The 23,076-nt window shown below is 39.2% G+C and overlaps 3 pseudogenes, besides 1 other annotated feature; 1 reads left to right on the top strand and 2 right to left on the bottom strand.

Moving 5' to 3' along the window:
• Positions 6,070 to 6,791, bottom strand: MTDHP5 (metadherin pseudogene 5; annotated as a pseudogene).
• Positions 6,657 to 7,157: an enhancer, noted in NCBI's record as "H3K4me1 hESC enhancer chr19:22322832-22323332 (GRCh37/hg19 assembly coordinates)". NCBI's record gives its function as "activates a minimal SCP1, AML or CMV promoter by ChIP-STARR-seq in primed H9 embryonic stem cells {active_cell/tissue: H9 hESC(primed)}" and the evidence as "EXISTENCE:reporter gene assay evidence [ECO:0000049][PMID:30033119]".
• PCGF7P (polycomb group ring finger 7 pseudogene) lies at positions 7,095 to 9,263 on the bottom strand (annotated as a pseudogene).
• Positions 16,865 to 17,422, top strand: ZNF92P2 (zinc finger protein 92 pseudogene 2; annotated as a pseudogene).

Here is a 23,076-nt window from a genome sequence, read left to right as displayed (position 1 = left end):
GGCTAGGAATACAGTTTCCAGGGCCTAACAAATAAGCATAGCTAGAAGAAAAAGAGATTTTGAGAGGGACTTATTTACTTTTAATTCTAGGAGTTTCATTAAAAAAAGCAGAGATTTCTTTTAAAATGTAATTTGTGGTGGCTTTTTTGTTTTCCTGAGGAGTCTTAGGCCACCAGAGGTTATTTTAGGGCCTTCTATGCTTGCATCAACAGTGACAAGAAAGAGTGGATAAAAGTAATTCAGTTAAGTGAGATAAAACCCTCTTCCAGGAAAACAAGTTTTATAAAGATAAAAATAGAAAGGCTTTTTGAATATACTTATAGCTTGGATATTCACTTTTCATTAAGTTGAGTACATTTTAAAAATGTTTATTTAATTAATTAAAACTTTACAAAGAATATAAACAGTGATTCTTCTTATTTCTTTTACCAGTTTACACCACTAGCTGTTTACAATCCCGTTTAGGCTCTTTAGTTTCCTCTGGGAGAAAGTGGCTGGGTTCAGGCAAAGGCAAATTTTTAACTGGACTGCAGATCACTTTAGCAGCAAAGCTTGATATTTGAGGAGGTGATTATTAGCCAGAGGTTTGCATTAGAGGACAGCAGTCCTATGTGGGAATGCAGACAGTTAAGTTATTTCCCATTGTTAACTTCATGGCATTTCGTACCAGCAAGCCACCACCAAAACTGGTAAGAGGCAAGCTGGCCATCCTCTAGCCATCAAGTCAAGTTTCTTGCTTAGGTAACCCACTGGTTGTTGACCTGGACCTTGAGCCTTAGTTAAAACTCCCAGGGTCATTAACTTCCTTTTTGATACATAGAGATTAAATGCTTTCCTTATGGGAAGATTAAGGGTTGGTGCTTTAAGTAAGGCTGCCTTTAGTTGGTTAAAGGCTTCTTAGTTTTAGATTCCCAAGTTACCAAGTGAGTCTTTAGGTGCTTGAGTTTTTGTAAGGTGGTATAAAAGATTAACTATTTCACCATTCCCAAATACCCAGAATTTGCAAAAATCCAGTAATGTCTAAGATCCCTCCCAACTGTTTAAGAGTTTTTGGAAAGGAAAAGGAGAAAATAAGTTTAATTCTTTCTTTACCTGGTGTTCTTGTACCTTCTGACTAGACCTATCTACTTTACTGCAGTTTGACAGAGCTGAGCTTTAAATTTTGAGACCCTATATTTCCTTTCAGCTAATAAATTGAGGAAAGCCTTAGTGCCTTCCTGAGACCTCTTCAGTTGAGGCAGAGAGAACAGTGTTATTTAAATACTGCAAAGTTTCAACTTGAGGATGACAAAACCTAGAAAGGTGTTTGAACAGGGCCTGTTTTAGCAGCTTCCTTCTGATATTAGAGACTGCCTAAGTAATAAACCTTTTTTCCTGAATCACAACACAGGGAGGTTTGTTTTACTAAAGTTTTTCTCAGCCTTTTCAAAAAGGCCATGGGATTTTTATCTGGTTTCTGATTTAACAAGGAGAGGTTAGAGTAATTAATATGCTTGATTGTGGTTCTTTGCAAACTTTCTAATATGCACATCAGAAAGTGTTTTCTTTTCCACTTCTCTATAAGATCACAAGGGCTCCCATTAGAATATTTAAGGGGCATTGTTTTTATTCTTATTGGGAATGCGGATTATGTCTCTTTTTTTTCCCTTTTGACTGGGTTTCTTTTCTGACTGGCTCTAGGAAACCTACTGTTTGTTTTTGAGTTTTTTTTTTTTTTTTTTTTTTTTTTTTTTTTTTTTTTTTTTTTTTTGCTGCCTGTAAGGCTGCCTGTTTCTTAACAGTTAGGGTTTGGCTTAAAAGCAGCATAGCATCTCTCCATGTAACATTAAACACTTGGGTTAAATTTTGGAAAGCCTCTATATATGAGTCAGTGTCATTAGAGAACTTGCCTGGGGTTCACTTTATTTTCTTAAGGTCCTGCAACTAGAAGGGAACTTGAATACTAGTAACACCATGTCTACTGGGCATTTTCTGTAGGGGGTAACAGCAATGTTGTGGGTTTCTTCAGTGGCACAACCAGAGGAGCTGATGATATATGGGTATTGGGGGCCCAAAATATGTGAGGCTGCTGGGGCACCTGGAAGTTACATTTGAGTGTTCCCCAAGGGTTTGTATCTCAACTTTTGGTAATTATATGTTGTAGACTTGTCTGATATGGCTGCCAAGAAGGCAGATTTAATTTTACAATGCTTACAAAGATCTGGGTTGTCTCACAGGGCAAAGAAAGATCTATTTGTTGGACAGTGTTGAAATTAATGCTTCCCTTAGAAAGCCAGGCCTACTGTCTCTAAGATGGCCATGGGTTTATGCAATAGAATATAAGCCACTTTTTCTTTAGAATTTCAGGGTTAAAGAAGTTCCAGTGTTTCAGAATGCACTAGAGGGGAATGCAGACTGTCGATGGTTTGTTACCTATCTAGAGAAAGAGGGGAGACAAGGCGTTCCTCAGTCCCCTTTCTCTTTTCAGTGTGGCCTAGGGTGGAAGGAAAGAGAAAAAGGACATACCACTTCTCAACCTTCCTTTTTTTCCTCTGTGTCCCAGCAACCATCATAGATGTTACCCATGGATGGAAGCATGACCTTTACCCATGGTTCCGGAGGAGTTCATAGGCAGGACAGATTGTGCTCACCTTCTCAAGACCCTAGCTTTCCATCCTGCTGGTTTTCTAGACCCACTCAGCGCAAAAGGCTCTCAAGGTACTCCAGTGGCTGGGGAGAGATTATGCAGTAGTTGGATTTAGGCAAGATACTTTTTTAGAGGGAATGCCCTAATGCCATTTTTGGCTTCCCTTACTACGGCCCCAGGAAAACATCAGAATCCCAGAGAATGGGACGAGTTTACTTTCAAACATAAAATTCCTTTCTGTTTAAATTTCAATGTAGTTTGATGAAGAACAGGTGCCTTAAAAATGTGTAAAAATTGAAGATTTGTTTTGTTAGAAAGCCTTTCTTCTGGCTGTTGAAAGCTGAGTTTTTCTGTTTACAAATAGGGCATGAGGACTTATCACTGATAAAGGGATGTAAAAGGGAAAATAATTGGGGAACTGTAAGTTTTGGACAGAGTGTTGGCAAGTCTTCACATGGAGAACAATCCCATTCCACTAGGGGTGCTGTAAAATTAGAAATGCTAGGTAAAAACTCCAACTTTATATTTTTAGGCAAAAGTTAGAAAGAGGTTTGGGGTTTGATAGGCTGTTCCTATAGCATATGCCCCAGAACAAAAAAAATGAACTTGTCTCATATAGGAACTGTTTAGATACATTGGACAGTGCTCAGCTTTCACATGGAGGGAAAAAACGAAATGCAAAGGAGGGTATTAACTCAGAGTGAAATATTCTCTCATACAGTGCCATGAATGTTTATTACTGGGGGAGAGAAAGACCTTTACTAAGTAAAAATTTAGAGAGATTTTGAATTCACTCTGTTGCTAGGAAATTATAAAACAACACCTTTGAGTTACATATTTGATTACCAAGACACTGACTGACTTTACTCAGCACGATTATATCCATAGGCTGTAAAAACATTCACAACTTTGCATACAAAGAACGGATAGGAGAAATGATAGCCATGAAAAAAAAAAAAAGAACAAGAACAAGAGAAATGAAATGAAATGAAATGAAATAAAAAAAGACTGGAAGTTCTTGTGCCAACACCCTCATTGGCTGTTGAGGACTGGAGTTAGTCCAAGGGCTTTTAGGTAACATTGAGGTATAGACTCAGCCAGGAACCTTCAGTAGCCCTAGGACCTCCTTTCAGTTCCACACAATGAGTAGGCCCTTCATGAAAGAAAACTGGATTAGAACAGTTTTCAAGTTTGTTTTTGAAAGAAAAAAACTTAGGACAAGAATTTAATATTTTATTTAATAATTTGAACTTAGAAATGACCAACCTATCTCATTTTTTTGTTTTTGTTCCACATGTCCTGTTATTGAGTCCCTCTCATTCCACATTTAAGCCTTAATCAGGCTTCAGTTCAGAAGAAACATAGAAATGGGTTGCCATATATGTTCAGTTAAGAATCAGGATCCTCTTGTGTATAAAAACTTTTACATTTATCATTCATAGTACAAAGCAGTATTTTTAAGATGTGGACATGTTCATTCAAATTAAATATAATGATTTTTATTAGTATGCCCATGTGGCAAGGTATCTATATAAAGTTCATGCAATGGTCTGTTTCATAATCTCCCAAAATAAGGATCAATATGTATGCAGTCCTGGATCTTAGTTTTTTGTTGTTGTTTTTTGTTGTTGTTTTTTTGTTTGTTTATTTACAATTTAAAGGTTTTTTTCCTAATTTATGATAATGTTAATCTATAGAAAGCTTACCAAAAGCTCTATTTTACTACAATTTTTTTAAACAAAAAGTCCAAATACTCAAACATTGAAAGTGACTTTCTCAATTACCATTTTTCATTTGATGTATCTTCACTTATTACTACTGCATTACAGTTTTTTTCTTATGTGGTGCAAGGTTATAAAAATGCCTTCCAGTTGATTTTTTGGTAACAGTAGAATCTGTTTTCTCAGACAATAACATGAGAATTTTGGATATATTACCTTTTGAGTTACTAAAAGGAACTTGATAAATGTGTAGAAATTTGTCTTTGTTAATAGACGTTTTATTCAAAGACTAAAGAAAGAAAAGTTGGCCAGGTGTGGTGGTTCACACCTGTAATCCCAGCACTTTGGGAGGCTGAAGGGGGTAGATCACAAGGTCAGGATTTTGAGACCAGTCTGGCCAACATAGTGAAACCCCATCTCTACTAAAAATACAAAAAATTAGCTGGGTGTGGTGGTGTGCACCTGTAATCCCAGCTACTGGGGAGCCTGAGGCAGGAGAATTGCATGAACCCAGGAGGTGGAGGTTGCAGTGAGCCAAGATTGCACCATTGCATTCCAGCCCAGATGAGAGTGCGAGACTCTGTCTGAAAAAAAGAAAGAAAAAAAAACAAAAGTCATACAAACGCACTGAAAATAAATTGGAATCCGGCACCTGACACTGATTAACAGGTTGAGCAGATTAAACTAGACCTAAATCCCTGTAAACAACATTGAAAGTTGGAATTTTTTAATTAACAACATCTTCAACAATTTAATAAACCTATGGAATTAGCAAAAAAAGATTTGTTTACCCATCATCAATCAATATTAGGTTTAACTACAAAACTTTGAACACACCATATATAAAATGAAATTAGTAAACTATCCCCAGAGCTAATCTGATTAAAACAAGACTTCTGGGTATTTAGAAACACCAAATTATTGATAAGCATATCTATTTTTAACAGATTTTTGATCTTATATATATACTACTATTAAGTAAAACCTAGTACTAATAGATATGACTTATAAAATATTTGTGAATATTTATTACTGTAGTAAAATATCAAGAAATTATTTAAATCTATTGTCTAAAAGTTTTTCATTAACATATTTGGTATTTTAATTGAATGCCAGTATTCATATAGTATGGCAAACCACTCATTTCTTTACTATTTTGTCATTTTATAACTGAAGCCTGAATTTGTAGCCATTTTTTTAAAAAACAATCTTTTCTCAAGAAAGATTTACACATCAAAATGTAGAGGTATTAATGTCACATTATAAACACAGTTTGCTGAACCCTACAGTAATTTGTAAAGTTTGTTTGTGTATACCAACCTTAGATTTTCTAAAGCACAATAAAGTCTTTTTACGTTGTATTTAACATACAAAAGTCCAAAATATATCCAGACAGGCAGGAACTATGGCTGCCACTTTAAAACACAAATGTTTCAGCACGATACACTATTCTGTGTATGTATGGATAAATAATCAAACTTTGAAATTTTCAAATCATAAACAGATAATATTTGTTACTTTCAGCCTTTACTATGTAAAACAAATACACACAGTTTACTCTTCTTAGTTTAAAATATATTTACTTTGAACAATTCAACTAATGCAAGACTATTGAAAATTTCATAAGCCATACAAATGTCAACTTCATTTTCAAAATTATAAGAACTAAAAAAAAAAAAAAAAGCTAAAGCAAGACACTTTAGTTTAAAAAAAAGATAAATAACTTTTTATTTGCACTTGTGATGAGAATCACCTTTATTCATTTAGGAATAAACAGGAAATGGTGCAGTTGTAACTCGCTGTGTGGTGACTGTGATGGTATTTACTGTCCTAGGGATGGTGGGATCCAGTGGACCAGAATCGTCAGCACCTTACCATGTTCACTGCTGTCCTTTCACTCTGTCACTAAGATTAGTTTCCGAGACTCATCAACTCTTTCTATCATGGTGTGAACTGCTTTGCACTGCATTAGCATCTGCCTTTGGTTTCTGCTCATTTTCTTTGACTTTCATTTTTCTTGTCCTTCTCTGGTGTTTGCTTCACTGCTCCACTTTGAGGAGTTTGGGCAGCTTCACACTCAGTCGCTCCAACAGTTTGTTCATTTGGCAGAAGCTCTCCGTTCTTCTGTTCTTGGCATCTGAGATTTGTCAGCAAGGCCTGGTTTACAGGGACCATGGCTACTGCCTCCTCCCACCTGCGGGGCACCTCCTTCACTTCTGGAGGGCACCAGTTCCAGTTGTGATCCAGCCGAGCACAGCAGGAACCACCGCAGCAGCCAGAGCGCCCACGGCCAAGGTCGCCCAGCCCGAGGACACCTGGACTCAAAGCCAGGATTGGGGCTCAGCTTGGCGCACAGAAATCCGAGGTCAACCAAAGCATTTCCCACAGCTGGGCAAGCCCTCCTTGACCTGTGGGGCCAGTTTCTCCCACTGGCTTTCTGCTGCCACCTCCCCTTCCATCAGAGGGATGCTCAAGATTGTGTAAGGGCCTGTGGACACCGTGAAGAGTCCAGGGAAGTGAGGAGGGGCTGGGCCGGGCAGGCTCAAGCCCAGCACATGGCCACACCCCTCACACCTGAGCAGAGATCAGCCACTGCCACCGCGGGGAGGACAGAGGGGCCCAGGATCCCCCAGCCAGCCTCCCTCTGCATCAGGAGAGGAAGGAACTACTTCCAGAAAAAAAGTATAGAATAGAAATGACATATCTGACCCAATCGAGTTTTCAGTTTTTCTTTTCTTTTCTTTTTTTAGGTTTAAATACATTTTTATTAAATGTTAGAATAAATTTATACACAGTTCACAAATTCTTTACAAAGAATTGCCAATCTTTGTCCAATTTTGTAGTAGTCTCTATACAGATTCAGAAATTCTGCTGTGAACAGGGTTTATAAAATATTTCTTTTAGAGAGCATCACAATGCTAATTTTAGGCAAAATAATGTTTTAAAACTGAAGTCTTTGCATGGAGGTGAGCTCAAACACCCTTATTCTTTATTCCAGTGATGAAATAATGAGAAAAATAAACATTAAACTGACTTACCAAGAAAACAATGAATAAGTAATTCTGTAAACTTCTCAAATTCTCCTAAAATTTTTTATTACTTTCAGAAGCAATACTTTTGCAAGGTATCAACAACCACACTATGTACCCAAATAAAATGAATGTCAGAAATAAAAATACTGTCACAAAGAAGCACCCCTTATTGGAAGATGTATTGAAGAAGTCTTATTACACTGAAAGTTTATGGCACAGACCATAAACTCAGAGTCTCTTCACACATAATAACAATTCATCCATTTTGAAATGAGTAACTTCTCCTTTGTAGTGTTGCTAGTATAAAAAAAGATACAAGTTCAAAATATGCTGGCAACATACAAAAGTGGCCAATAGTTTTGGTCTTTGAGAGTACGCCCTGCAGTTTAACAAAGACTGGCTTTGGATCTTCCATTCAAAAGCACACTTCTCTTCCAAAAGGATGACTGCCCAACTGATGCCATCCCAGAGAGCAGATATCCCAACCACCAACTTGAAATGGCTGAACAAAGAAAACTAACCAATTACTTCAAAGATGGGAAGCAAAATCAATGTCAAGGTATTTAAAATCATAAGAAATTTTAAAATTCAATTTTTGAAAAATTTCCCCTGAGCTTTCGCTGCTTTTTATATACAGTCTCTAGTAACAGATGCATTCCATCGTTCCAAGTTGTACTTATAAATGCTATAATTCTTGGTGCTAAAAATAGGTAAGTTATGTCTTGAACAGCAAAGTGGTAGCAATTACATTTCATGGAAATCTTTGGTGAGATGCAGTCCTGCAGAAGCCTCCTTTGTTTCCCTCCTCATAATGTGCCTAGAATCTTCAAGTTATCTTCAGAGGAGAAACTACAAGACCATAATGAAGGACAAGCAGACCATCCTGCATTGCTGCATCACCTATTGCACGTCGGATTTCCCTTAGAGTTTGATACTGCTCCAACAGGTGATCACCACAGATGATATCTACCTGACAAGCTGGATCAAGACCCATTTTTCTTCTGAAGAATTTTTCTACATGTCCAATAGTTGCTTCTCCTGAAACTCGAACAAACTTCTTTTCCAATGGCTTAAAATGTCCCGTGCCTTCATTAGCACCAATGAACTCCAGTAATAAAGACATATCAAGTTCAGGTGGAATAGGAAACACTGATTCTCGGATTTTTTTAGATCTTCCTTTGCTTGAAGGGACTGGCTGTGGAACAGCAGGTTTAGGTACTTCTAGACCTCTTTCTTGATAGAAATCATGCATTTGCTTTTTTTCTCTTTCCTCTAGATTGATCACTAATTTGTACACTATGTCTTGTAACTGTCGGTCCAACCTTATAAAGAGGTTGTGTCTGATGTACTGCTATATTGCATTTTGGACATCTGTTGCTGTAGTAAAAATGTCTTACGACGCAGCTTTTACAAAAGGTATAAAGATATTCTGTGATGGTAGTTGCATCTATTAAGTAACCTTTGCAAATGGAACACAAGATATATGGGGTCAGCTCAGAGAGATTAATCAGGCGCTCCTCCTCGTCCTCCGAGTCTTGCCGGCCTCCCTCCAGCCTCAACGAGAAGTGACTCATGTCCTCCTCCTCCTCCTCCTCTTCTTCCTCCTCTAGCTCCTCTTCTTCTTCCAACTGCTCGTCCTTATCCTCGAAGCGGCCTCTGAAGCGGCCCAGGCTGCGCTCTGGCTCCAGCTCAGGGGGCCGGGAGCCGGAGCAGCCGGGAGCCCCAGTCTCAGACAGAGGCGCCGGTCCCTCCTCACCCGCTGCGGGTGCGAGGGTGAGGGCGGGCGGGGAGACAGGAGGCGGAGGCGGCAAGGCTGCAGCTCCCTCGGCTTTGGCAGCGCTTACGCTGCCCGCCGTCACCACCGCGACCCCCTCCATGGTTGGGGCAACTTGCTTACACGTTAAGAAAAGAAGTCACATCGAATAGTTGATAGGTCTAAATATATGTTACAATGCCCTTTGTGGGCAAAGTGCAGGCAGGAGACTCACATAACCTTGGTGCTGTTCCCAGGAATATATCACAATGCCTTCTGAGTACAGTTCAAAAATGAAAGTGTAACGTCACCTTAGTTTGAGGCCCAGTGATATGTCACAATCTCCCCTGTGGACAAAAACTAGAAAGGAGAATCACATCAGTTAGGTGCTGAGTTCAGCAATATGTCATAATGCCCCCTGTGAGCAGGGACCAGGCAAAAAAAGAGAGTCACATAACCTGGGTTATTGGCACAGAGATTTGTCACAATTCCCCCTGTTGGCAGGTCCTAGGCATGAGAGTTACATCACCTGGGTGTTGGACCCAGCAATATTTTATGATAATATGTGAAAAGGGCACAGGCAGGAGAGTCATGTAACCTGGGTATATACCCCAGAGATATGTCAAAATACCTTTTGTGGACAGTGCCGAGGCAGAAAAATGGAGTCACATCACCTAGGTGCTGGGTAGAGCAACCCATCACAATTCCATCTGTGGGCTAGACCATGGCAAGAGTCATATCACTCAGATGCCAAATAGAGGAACATGTCAGCATCACTCCTGCAGGAAAGTCTGAGGAAAAGATGAACAATCTTACACATGTCCCAATTCTAGGTATAAGAGTCAACGCTTCCTATATTTTGGGTCTAAGCAAATGAGTCACAATCTCAGTGGTGGGCTGGATTTGTGCATGAGCGTCTCAATTTTTTCTATGAATTCCGTTTTCTTAGTGGAGTGATGGCCTCATAACTGTGCTGAATTTTGGTCTGAGAGTCACCAACCCCCCTGTGGACTGGGTCTACCAATGAGAGACAATGTTTTAATTTTCAACTGCCTTTGGTTATGAGATTCAACACCTCAACAGTGGGCTGTATCCATGAGGAAAGATGGCAAGTTTTACTGTCAGTTGGGTGTGGATATCACTGTCACAATCTCACCTGTGCGCTGAACCCCGTTAGGACATTTAATACTACCCAAGATCATCGTAGACTAGGAATGAGAGTCACAATTTTCCCTGAGACCTTTATGCTGCTCCCTAGGCCCAGGTAGAAAAGTTAATATTTCTCAAATTAATTGGGCCCAGACAGAAGAGTCCTCACTTGTCTATGAGCTGGGTCTAGAAATGAGTCACCATCCCAACTTTGGACAGGTGTTTACATTTGACAGTCAGGAATCAAACTGTGGATTGCATCTGCATGTGAGACACAAGACCTCACCAATGGGCTGTTTCCAGGTGTTAGGGTGACAATCCTAACAGGTGTCTGGGTGTGTATACAAGAAACACAATATCCCTTTTGTTTTGGGACATGTGAACACTCTCTGTACCACTCAAGAGCTTTATACCATATACAAGTGCATGGTAGTTCTCTATGACCGTCATATAAAGAGGAGACACAGGTATTTTATAAGTTTTCCTAAGCCTAGCTATAAGAAACAGTATCGCTTCTACTGACTTGTTTGAGGTATGAGAACTGTCATCACACCTGTGAGCTGGGCCAGGATATATGTAATAATTTCTCCCCTGAAGAGAGAGTAAACAGGGAAGTCACATTACCTGGGTTTGGGGCTGAAGATACGTCATAATCTTCTTTGAGGGCAGGGACAAGAAAGGAGAGTCAAATCTCCTGAATTCTTGGCCAGGAAGATTTACAATCCTCTCTTGAATGTTGGGAACAGGCAGCAGAGTCACATCACCTAGGGCCCAGTGATATGTCACAATTGTCTCTGTGGGCAAACCCCAGTCAGAAGAGACACATCACTAGGTTGCTTAGTTCAGTAATATGCCACAATCTTCCCTGAGGGCAGGGTATAAGCAGAAGACAGTCACATTTTTCAAGTCACATATCTTTTAAAAAAGTGATGAGGGCCCCTTGGGCTGAGTCTGGGTGGAAGTTTTCCTACCCATAGGTGTTGGTCACAGAGGTATGTCACAATACCAATAATATGTGACACTTGAGCAAGAGAGGATAGTCACATCACCAAGGTGCTCAGTTCAGTGATATGTCACAATCTCTCCTTTTTGCAGGGCTCAGGAAAAGAGTAGAGTCGCATCACCTAGGTGATGAACAAAATGATATGTGATAACATTCCTGTGAACAGAGCTTATGCAGGAAAGTCACATCACCCAGGTGTTTAACCTAGCTATATATTACACATGTATGCAGTGCCCACGCAAAAGCAGAGAGTCATATCACTAGGTGCTGGGTCCAGCAATATTTCATAATATCCCTTGAGGGGAGGTCCCAGGAAGTAGATTCACATCACCAAGATGAATGGCCCAGAAATATGTCCTCTTGTGGGTAGGGCTCAGGAAAAAGAGGAGAGTCACATAACCTAGTGACTGGGCCCAGCTCTATGTCACAACCAACCCAGTGATAAGACCTAGTCATGAGAAGAGAGTCACACCATGTAGGTGCTAAGCCAAGTTCACAATCCACACTGTGCACAAGTTGCAGAAAAAAACAGGAGTATCACATCATCTAGGTAATGGGCCTAATGATATATCATAGTAACTCCTGTGGAAAGAGACCAGGAAGAAGTATTACATCACCTGTGTTCTGGGCCTAGCAATAAGTCACTCTCCCTATCTCCCACTCTCCTGAAGGCATGGCCCAGGCAGAAGAGGAGAGTCACATCAACTGAGTGATGAGCACAGAAATATGTAACAGTGCCCTCTGTAGATAGAACCCAGTCATAAGAGTTACTTCCTTTGGGTGTTGGACCCTGCAATATGTCACAGTGGCCAATGTTGTCTGGACACAGGCAAAAGAGTCACATAACCTGTCTACAGAGCACTTTGATATGTGAAAATGCTCTCTATGGGTGGAGCCACAGCAAAAGAATAAAGTCACATCACCTAGGTGCTGGGTCCATGGATGTGTCATGTTTTTATCTGTTGTCTGACCCCAAGCAAGAGAGTCAAATTATTAAGGTCCCGGGCAGAGGCTTATGTCACAATCACACCTAGGAAGGTCCAGGGATGTGATTGACAATCTTGAACATGTCTAGGTTTTATTTACGAGAGTCAACACCTCCTGTATGTTGGCTCTAAAAACAGGAGTCACGCAATCTCAATGAGAGAGTGGGTCCATACATGACAGCCTCAATCCCTCCTGCAAACTGTGTCCTCTTTGAGGATTCACAGCCTCACCTGTGTGCTGAATGTCTGAGATTAACCAACCCACTTGTGGATTGGATCCATGGATGATAGTCAATTTTCCAACTTTCCACTGCCACAGGGTATGAAATTAAGAACTTCAAAAGAGGGCTGTGTTCATGTGGGAGGATGACAATTTTTACTATCAGCTGGATGTGCACACACGTATTACAATCTCATCTGACTCCTGGGCCCTGTTAGGACACTCTCTGTACCACACAAGGGTATTATGTGGTATGCACGAGAGTCACAATCTATTCTGAAACCTTCATACTAGTATGGATTTGTGATTTTTACCTGTGGCTTTAAGCCCAGGTATGAGGGTCAACATCTCTCCTATTGGTGGGTTCCAGATAGAACAGTCTTTACCTACCTATGATTTGGGTTTAGGAATGAATCACTATCTTAACAGAGGCTGAATGTTCTGTCACAATTGCAACTGTAGATTGTGTCTGCATTTGGGATTCAGGACCTCCTCAGTGGGCTCGGTCTATGTGTGAGGGTGATGATCTTAATGACTGCCACAGTGTAAATATGTAAAGCACAACCTCAATTGTGTGCTGTTCTCTGTGGTGACACTCTCAGTACAAGCTGAGTGCTTTATGGTACATGCAATAGAGTGATAAGCCTCCATGATCTTTGTACAAAGAGGAGACCCAAGGATCTTACCCATTTTTCTAAGTCTACCTACAAAAGACAGTATTTCTCTTATTGGCAGGTTTGAGGAATGAGGGTCATCATCACATCTGTTACCTGAGTAAAGACATATGTCACAATTCCACCTGTGGATAGGAAGCATGCAGGAGAGTCACATCATGTGGGTTTGGATCTAGAGATATTTCTCAACATTCCCTGAGGACAGAGACCAGGCAGGAAAGTCACATCACCTGGGTGCTGCTCCTAGTAATATGTCACAATTTCTCCTATGGGTAGGGTGCAAGCAGGAGAAAGTCATCTCCTAGGTAATGTATGCAGAGATATGTCACAAGGCTTTCTGTGAGTAAGTTTTAGGCAAGAGCCTCCCATACCCTAGGTGTTGGGCCTAGCAATATGTCACAATACTCAAAATATGAGAGGCCCAGGTAAAAGAGAAGACTCACATTACCTAGGTGTTGGGTCTAGGGCTTTATACAGTTTGAATGAGAGTCACAATCTAGTCTGAGACTTTCTTGCTGGTATGAACCTATGATTGTATCTGTGTCCCTAAACCTAGGTAGGAGAGGCAACATCTCTCCAATGTTCTGGGTCCAGATAGGAGAGCCCTCATCTTCTTATAAGCTGCATTTAAAGATGTTTCGCCATCACAAATCTGGCCAGATGCTCACATATGACAGTCACAAATCCAACTGTGAACTGCATCCATGTGTAAGATTCACAAGTGAGGTCTATCCATCTGTGAGGGTTACAATTTTAATGGTTGATGGGTTGTGCATATGTGCAAGTCAACTTCACCTGTAGGCTGGGCTCTGTGGTGACACATTGTGTACAATTCAATGGCTTTATACCATATGTGAGAGTGTGGTAATCCCCTCTGACCTGCAGAAAAATAGGAGACCCACGATCACACCCATATCCCTAAGCCTAGCCTTGGGAGACAGTATCTCAGCAACTGGCTGGTTCAAGATATGAAAGTCATCATATTACTTGTGAGATGGGACAGTATATATGTAACAAATCCACATTTGTGTAGGTAGCAAGCACGAGAGTCACATCACCTGGGTGCTGGGCCAGAGATTTGTTATAAAAAACAAAGCTTTTAACTGGTCCTGAGAACTAACTAGACATAGTCACAGAGATCTGTTATATTTGTTTATATTTGTTAGAATATTTCCTTATTTTTGAAAACTGAGTGAATTTTCAATGTATTTATCTTTCTAATTGTCTCTACTGAATGATTTGGTGACAGAAATTTGCATTGCTTTTGCCTATTGGCTTACAATAACAATGCTTCAATAACTATGGGTATGCAAATAACTGTTCAGATTACCATATATGTGAAAATTTATGTATGTGTTGCATTTTATTTTATTAGTCTACTTTTTTTTACCTTTACACTCATTCAAATTGTTTTAATTCTTTAGCTTTATAATGTTTTTTGAAATCAGGAACTGTAATGCCTCCGATTTGTTTTTTTAAAAATATTTTTTGGTACATTATTGTCTCTTGCAATTTCATATACTTTTGCATTTGCTGTTTTTGTCTCTTTAAAAATGCAATGAGAAATTTTAAAAACATTGCATTAAATCTGTAGATTACATTGGGCAGTATAAACATCTTCACAATATTAATTATTTCAACTTTTCACCAAGAGCATGCTCAAGAGTGTATTGTTTAATTTGTAGATATTTGTGAATTTTTCAGGTTTCTTCTGTTGTTTATATATTCTTATTCAATTTTGGTTATAAGAAGTAATCCACACAATTTTAGTTTTAAAAATGTGTTAAGACTTCTTTTTTGACCTAACTGGTGATCTATCAAAGAGAATGTTATGAGCTACTGCAAAGGGTGTGTGTCCTATGCTGTTGAGGAGTATTCTCTATACCTTTCTTAGGAATCATTGTTTTATACTGCCTGCAAATCTAATGTTCCCTTACTAATATTCTGCTTTGTCTTATTTTTATTATTGAACACAAGGTATAGAAATATCTCACTATAATTATGTTGCTCTCTATGTGTTTCTTCAATTCTTTCAATATTTGCTTTATATATTCAGAACCCTAATATGAGATACACACACACACAAACTTATGTACAAATTTGTCATAGGTTCCCAGTGCATAAATCTATTATTGTATTATTGTTGGCAGGGCACAGTGGCTTACATCTGTAATCCCAGAACTTTGGGAGGCCAAGGTGGGTGGATCACGAGGTCAGGAGATTGAGACCTTCCTGGCTAACATGGTGAAACCGTGTCTCTACTAAAAATACAGAAAAAAAAAAAAAATTAGCCGGGCGGGTGGCATGTGCCTGTAGTACCAGCTACAGGCTGTAGTCTATACAGGTTTTTTCTATGGTACTTTGGAGATTACATAAAACCTTTAAAAGATACAACAATATATTTTAATCTGGTAAAAAATTAACTTTAGTTGCCTGTAAAATTTCTTCCTCATTACATGTGCCCTAAACCTTGTTATTAATGTTGCTAATTATCTTTTTATGTTGCATATTCATTAACAGGTGTTTACCATAATTTCTATGCTTTTATGTTTCAAATTTTAGACACTAAAAGTGCTTTTTCCACCATTTTGATAATGCTAAGGAATTCTGTTTTGTGTATGTGTGTAAGTTTTTTAGAAAGTTATGTATTTTTATAAAATTATGTGTTGTTCTCCTTCATCATGTTCTTTTCAGTGGAAGGAACTCATTTCAGCATCTTTAATATGTAGGGCATATGAAATGCCAATATACTTTTTCCGAATTTGGTTACTTTGCAAGGTCTTTTTCTTTTTATTTGTTAGGACAGTTTTGCTGATAGCATTATTCTCACTTGACAACTATTTTCTTTAGGACTTTGACTACATCACACAGTTTCCTCCTAACCTGCAAAATTTTGTCGACAAATTTACTGGTTATCTCATTAGACTATGCTTTTAAATGACACATCACTTTTGCCTTGAAGCTCTCAAGATTCTCTAATTGTCTGTGACTTTAAAAATTGTGCCTATATATATATGTTTGTTAGAAATATCTTTGTGTGGCCAGGTGCAGTGGGTCACACCTGTAATCCCAGCACGTTGGGAGGTGAGGCGGGCTGATCATCTGAGGTCGGGAGTTTGAAACCAGCTGACCAACCTGGAGAAACCTCGTCTCTGCTAAAAAAAATATATAAAAATTAGCCGGGTGTGGTGGTGCATGCCTGTAATCCCAGCTACTCAAGAAGGCTGAGGCAGGAGAATCGCTTTAACCCAGGAGGCGGACGTTGTGGTGAGCCAAGATTGCACCACTGCACTCCAGCCTGGAAAATAAGGGCAAAACTGGGTCTCAAAAAAAAAAAAGAAAGAAATATCTTTGTGTGCATCCTAGTTTGTTTGTTGAGCTTCTTCATTTTTACATCACATTTTATTACTTTTAAAAATTTTCAGTTATTTCACTTTGTATTTTTACCTCCATAATTTCTAGGGTTTATTGATATTTTAAATATTTTTGTTGTTATTCTTTTTTTAATTGCATTTATTTTAATGCTGAATTTACTCACAGGCCATAAGTTTGTGTTTCTTCAGTTTCTTCTGGGACACCTTTTTTTTGTGGGTAATGTCCTTTTTCAGTTGAGGAACAATTTGTTCCTTTTCAGTAAAGATCATCTTTATGTGGCAGGGAGAGCTCATATATGGGTTAATCTGACCATGAGCTCTGTAGTCTAGACATAATAAAATTTATACTGGAGAAAACCCTACAAATGTGAAGAATGTGGCAATGCTTTTAATCAGTCCTCAAACCTTATTGAACGTAAAATAATTCATACTGGAGACAAACCCTATAAATGTGAAAAAATGTAACAAAGTCTTTAATTGGTCTTCAACTCTTACTGAACATCAGAGAATTTATACAGAAGATAAAGCCTAAGAATACGAAGAATGTGAAAAAGGCTTTAACTTTTGAACCCTTATTACACATAGGATACATCATATTGGAGAGAAATTCTAGAAATGTGAAGAATATGGCAAAGCTTTTAATAAGTTCTCAAACCATACTGGAGAGAAACTCTACAAATCTGAAAGATGTGACAATGTTTTTGAAAACACCTCAAACTTCTAAAAATAAAAGAAATACTAGTAAGAAACAGTAGAAGTGTGAGTAATGTGACAAAGCCTTTAAATTCTTGTCACACTTGATTGTAAGATAATTTATACTGGAGAAAACTTCTTCAAGTATGGAGAATACGACAAAAAGTTTAACCAATGCTCACATCTTTTTGTTTGTTTGTTTGTTTGTTTTTTGGAGATAGAGTTTCGCTCTTGTTGCCCAGGCTGGAGTGCAATGGTGTGATCTTGGCTCGCTGCAACTTGTGCTTCCTGGGTTCAAGCGATTCTCCTGCCTCAGCCTCCTGAGTAGCTGGGACTAAAGGCATGCACCAGCACACCCAGCTAATTTTGTATTTTTAATAGAGATGGGGTTTCTCCAAGTTGGTCAGGCTGGTCTCAAACTCCTGACCTCAGGTGATCTGCCCGCCTCAGCCTCCCAAAGTGCTGGGATTACAGGCGTGAGCCACCGTGCCTGGCTCAGTGCTCACATCTTATTGCACAGGAAAGCATTTATTCTTGAGAAAAATTATACTAATATAAAAAATGTGGAAAAGCCATTCATATCTGCTCACATCTTACTCAACATCACGGAGTTCATACTTAAAGCATTAACAATGCAATTACTGTCAAAAGATCTATCAGAATATATAAACCTTTAATAGTATTTATTTTGGGCTGGGTGCGGTGGCTCATGCCTATAATCCCAGTGCTTTGGGAGGCCGAGGCGGGCAGATCACCTGAGCTTGGGAGTTCGAGACCAGCCTGACTAACATGGAGAAAGCCTGTCTCTACTAAAAATACAAAACTTAGCCGGGCATGGTGGTGCATGCCTGTAATCCTAGCTACTTGCGAGGCTGAAGCAGTACAATCGCTTGAACCCAGGAGGTGGAGGTTGCGGTGAGCCAAGATCACGCCACTGCACTCCAGCCTTGGCAACAAGAGCGAAACTCTGCCTCAAAAAAAAAAAAAGTGTATTAATTTTGAACATGAACGAACATTACAAATATAAAAAGGGTTTTAGTGCCTTTAATTCTATTACAGATCTTGTTGTATACATTTTGTGCTAGAGGAAAACCCTACGGCAGTTGCTCAAACTTTATTCAACACCAGGAAATTTATACTGTAGAAATACCCTGCAAATTTAATGAATTTGGAAAACCATTTTTTAAAAAACTACAGCTTAGAAAACATCAGAGTGTATACTAAGATTTTTTTTGTAAATACAGTAAATATAGAGTATTTTATCCAAAATTAAGTCTATGTCAGTACCAGAGAATATACAGTAGTAATAATAAGGCACTGAAATGTCAGACATTACACTAAATCAGAGTGTTGAGTATAGAAAATAATTCCAAACTAAAATTGTTAGATAAGTTTTTTGTATATAACTTTAAAAGGAGTAGATTTTTTGTAGAGTTATAATTACATGGGAAGTATACTTTTTATTGAAAAAATACAGACTTTTTGAAAAGCAAATAATGATGCAATTGAACTCTCAAATTATTTTCTGCTCTTTGTTTCTATTGTATTCACATGTGAAAGCATGTGATCAATTGCTGCATCAGATATATGAGAGATTATTTTTATTAAGTGGGCATTATTTATGAACTTTTCCATAAAAGAATAAGGATATTAAAATATAAGATGCATGATGAAAATCTAAGTGAAGAGGCTTTTTGTGGTTGACTTATAATATTAAGTAGTGTATGAGGTAGGTTTCTAAGTAATATTCTTGTGCATTATAGTGAGAGAAAAACATTTTTAAATTTTAGTTAAAATTAAAAATAAAATTAGTAGTATATCATTATAATTGTGCTTATATGTAATAAAATATGGTATATTAAAAATTTTTAGATTATATGTGAACTTAATTTTGTAACATTTTTTAACATGTTAATTTTATTGTGCACTCAATGAAGTGTTATTATGCCACTAACTTTAACCTATCCCACCTTACTCAAGGGTGTAGGTAAAACATGGTAACAGTATATTATTTAGTAACATAGTGGAATAACATCTCTAGTAATCTATTTTTTCAGTGGCTTTAATCTGCAAATAAGTGAGAGACTATTGTTCTCATAGGTTAAGTTTTTATTTTTTTTCTTATTTAAATTTTTTAAAAAATTTTGTGGGCATATAGTGTATGTATATATTTATGCCATATATGGCATATTTTGATACAGGCATACAATATGAAATAATTACATCAGGGTAAGTGAGGGATTATCACCTCCAGCATTTATTCTTTTTTTTTTTTTTTTTCCTTTTTTTGAGACAGAGTCTCGCTCTGTCACCCAGACTGGAGTGCAGTGGCGCAATCTCAGCTGACGGCAAGCTCCGCCTCCCAGGTTCATGCCATTCTCCTGTCTCAGCCTCCCAAGTAGCTGGGACTAGAGGCGCCTGCCACCACTCCTGGCTAATTTTTTGTATTTTTAGTAGAGACGGGGTTTCACCATGTTAGCCAGGATGGCCTGGATCTCCTGACCTCATGATCCGCCTGCCTCGGCCTCCCAAAGTGCTGGGATTACAGGCGCGAGTCACTGCGCCAGGCAGCATTTATTCTTTAAGTTAGAAACAATTCAATTCTACACTTCTAGTTATTTTAAAATGTACAATTAAATTGTTATTGACTACAGGGTCATTTTACGGTCATAATAAAAATTATATACAAGTATACATAAAATCCATACATATCTGAGACCTAAATATTTTTAAAAACTTGTTACATATTTTTCTTTGAACATGTGGACACTCTGCCTGCAAAAATTTACAGATTTTTAGTTTTGATTTAAGTAGGATTAAATATATACATATATTACTCTGAAGACAAACATGAGGTGTAAAAACATGCAGTAAGTGTGTTTGTATAACTATGGGTTTGTACCTGTTTTCAGAAGAATACAACAATATTAGAACAAAACAAATTATTTTAATGGCTAATTTACTAGAAAACTAAAAACCTCAATTTGCCTAGGCAATGATCTATCGTGATTAATTTCCCAGATGTTCTTTGAGCTTCTCGTATTTTGACATCTAGGTCTCTAGCAAGGCTGAGAAAGTTTTCCTTGATCATTACACCAAAAATATTTTCCAAACTTTTAAATTTCTCTTCTTCTCCAGGAAAGCCAGTTATTCTCAGATTTGGTTGTTTAACATAATCCCAAACTTCTTGGAGGCTTTATTATTTTAAAATTATCTTTTCTTTGTTTTTGTTGGATTGGGTTGATTTGAAAACATTGTCTTCGAGCTCTGAAGTTCTTTGTTCTGCTTGTTTAATTTTATTGCTGAGACTTTTCAGGACATTTTGCATTTCTCTAAGTGTGTCCTTTATTTCCCGAAGTCGTGATTTGTTTTTTGTATGCTATCTATTTCACTGAAGATTTCTCCCCTCATTTCTTGTATCTTTTCAAATTTTTTAAAATTGGACTTCGCATTTCTCTGGTGCCTCCTTGATTAACTTAATAATCAACCTTCTGAATTCCTTTTCACGTAAATCAGGGATTTCTTCCTGGTTTGAATTCATTCCTGGTGAGCTAGTGTAACTTTTGGAGGGTGTTAAAGAACTTCGTTTTCTCCTATTACCAGAGTTGTTTTTCTGGTGTCTTCTCATTTTGGTAGGCAATATCAGAGGCAAGACCTGGGGCTCAAGACTGCTGTTCAGATTTTTTTGTCCCACAGGGTGTTGCCTTGATGTAGTACTCTGCCACTTTTCCTAGGGATGTGGCTTTCTTAGAGCTGAACTGTAGTGATTGTTATTTCTTTTCTGGATCTAGCAACTTAGAAGAACTACCAGGCTGAGGGCTGGTACTGGGGCTTGTCTGCATAGAGTCCTTTGATGTGAACCATCTGCAGGTCTCTCAGCCATGGATACCAGCACCTGCTTCAGTGGAGGTGGCAGGGGAGTAAAATGGACTCTGTGATGTTTCTTAATTTTGGTTGTTTAATGTACTATTTTTGTGCTCCTGACAAAAGGTGGTGCTTTCAAAACAGCATCAGCTGTGGTAATAAAAGGAGGATCAGGCAGTGGGCAGGGCCCCATAACTCCCAAGAGGATACCCTCTTTGTCTTCAGCTACCAAGGTGGGTAGGGAAGGACCATCAGGTGGGGGCAGGGTTAGGCATATCTGAGCTCAGACTCTCCTTGGGCAGGGCTTGCTGTGGCTGCTATGGGGAGTGGGGGTGTGGTTTTCAGGTCAACAAAGTTATGTTCCCAGGAGGATTATGGCTGCCTCTGCTGTGTCATTCAGGTTGTCAGTCAGAGAAATGGGGGAAAGCCAGCAGTTACAGGCCTCACCCAGCTTCCGTACAACCCAAAAGGTCTGTCTTACTCTCACCGTGCCACCTCCAACAGCACCAAGTCTGTTTCCAGGCAGTGGGTAAGTAGGGCTGAGAACTTGCCACAGGCTCCCAGCCTTCCAACTGAGAAAGTAAGCAGGACTTTCACACCTTACCGCCTGTCATGTGTGCACACCGGACTCACACCCTTCCCATGTTCTGGCCAGGAGACTTCGTGTCCAGTTGGAATTGTTACAAAGTTCAGCTGGAGGTTTTCTTCTTCCTGTGGCCTTTTCCCAGTGCCTCTGGCATCCCTCCCCAATGACCCCTGTAAAATAGATCAGAACTGGGTTTTCTGGAGGACCTAGAGAGCCCACAGGTCTTTTCTGGCTGCTGCTTCTACTCCTGCATTTTGCTCAGCTCTCTAAATTGATTCGGCTCCAGGTAAGGTCAAATTCTTTTTCTGTGATCTAGACCTTCAGGTTTTTCAGTGAAAGTGTGTGTTTGGTGGCAAACAATCCCCCTTTCTTACTTTCACAGCTTGGGCATTCACAGCATTTGGGCAGTCTCCCAGGCCCTGCAGGAGCATCTGCTTTTTTCAGAGGGTTTGTGGATTTTCTTGGCTTTTCTGGTATATTTCTGCAGTAGTTCTGGAGGAAAAGTTCATGATGCGAGTCTCAACACGCTGCTCTGTGTGTCTGAGTGGAAGCTGTGATCTAATTCTGCCTTCTGTATACCATTTTTTGTTGAGTCCTGACCTATTTTTTTCTTGGGGGCTTTTTTAATACATATAGATACAGGTATAAGATTGGTGGATAAACATACAGAATGGGTCCCCTGGTTATGTTTATACAAACTCCATATATGCATACGTCTGGCAAAAAGCTTCAGGAAAAAAGTAGGTCTGAGGTTATTTTCCTTCACAACTGTAAACCAGGTGAATTCGAGAAGCTGATTAGCTCCACCCAGGTTAATCAATCAGCCAATCCTCTCAGCCCAGATAGATATGATCAGCCAATTAGCTAAGTTGGAAAAGTGAAAGCATCACATTTTGTGATGTTGTCAAGCCACATCACAACATGGCTGATATGAATAACACAGACATACAGTGAGTATGAGAGTGGGGTCCTAAAGGCTGGGTGTGGTGGCTCACGCCTGTAATCCCAACACTTTGGAAGGCCGAGGTGGGCAGATCATGGGGTCAGGAGATCGAGACCAACCTGGCTAACACGGTGAAACCCCGTCTCTACTAAAAATACAAAAAATTAGCCAAGTATGGTGGTGGGCGCCTGTAGTCCCAGCTACTCCGGAGGCTGAGGCAGGAGAATGGCATGAACCTGGGAGGCAGAGCTTGCAGTGAGTCCAGATCACGCCACTACACTCCAGACTGGGACAGACAGCAAGACTCCATCTCAAAAAAAAAAAAAAAAAATTAGCAAGGCATGGTGGCTCATGCTTACACTCTCAGCTACTTGAGAGGCTGAGGTAGGAGAATCACTTGAACCCAGAAGGTGGAGGTTGCAGTGAACCAAGATTGTGCCACTGCACTTCAG

Source organism: Homo sapiens, chromosome 19 (assembly GCF_000001405.40).
Source record: "Homo sapiens chromosome 19, GRCh38.p14 Primary Assembly".
In the NCBI taxonomy this organism is placed as follows: Eukaryota; Metazoa; Chordata; class Mammalia; order Primates; family Hominidae; genus Homo; species Homo sapiens.
This window is presented reverse-complemented; position numbering and strand designations above follow the sequence as displayed.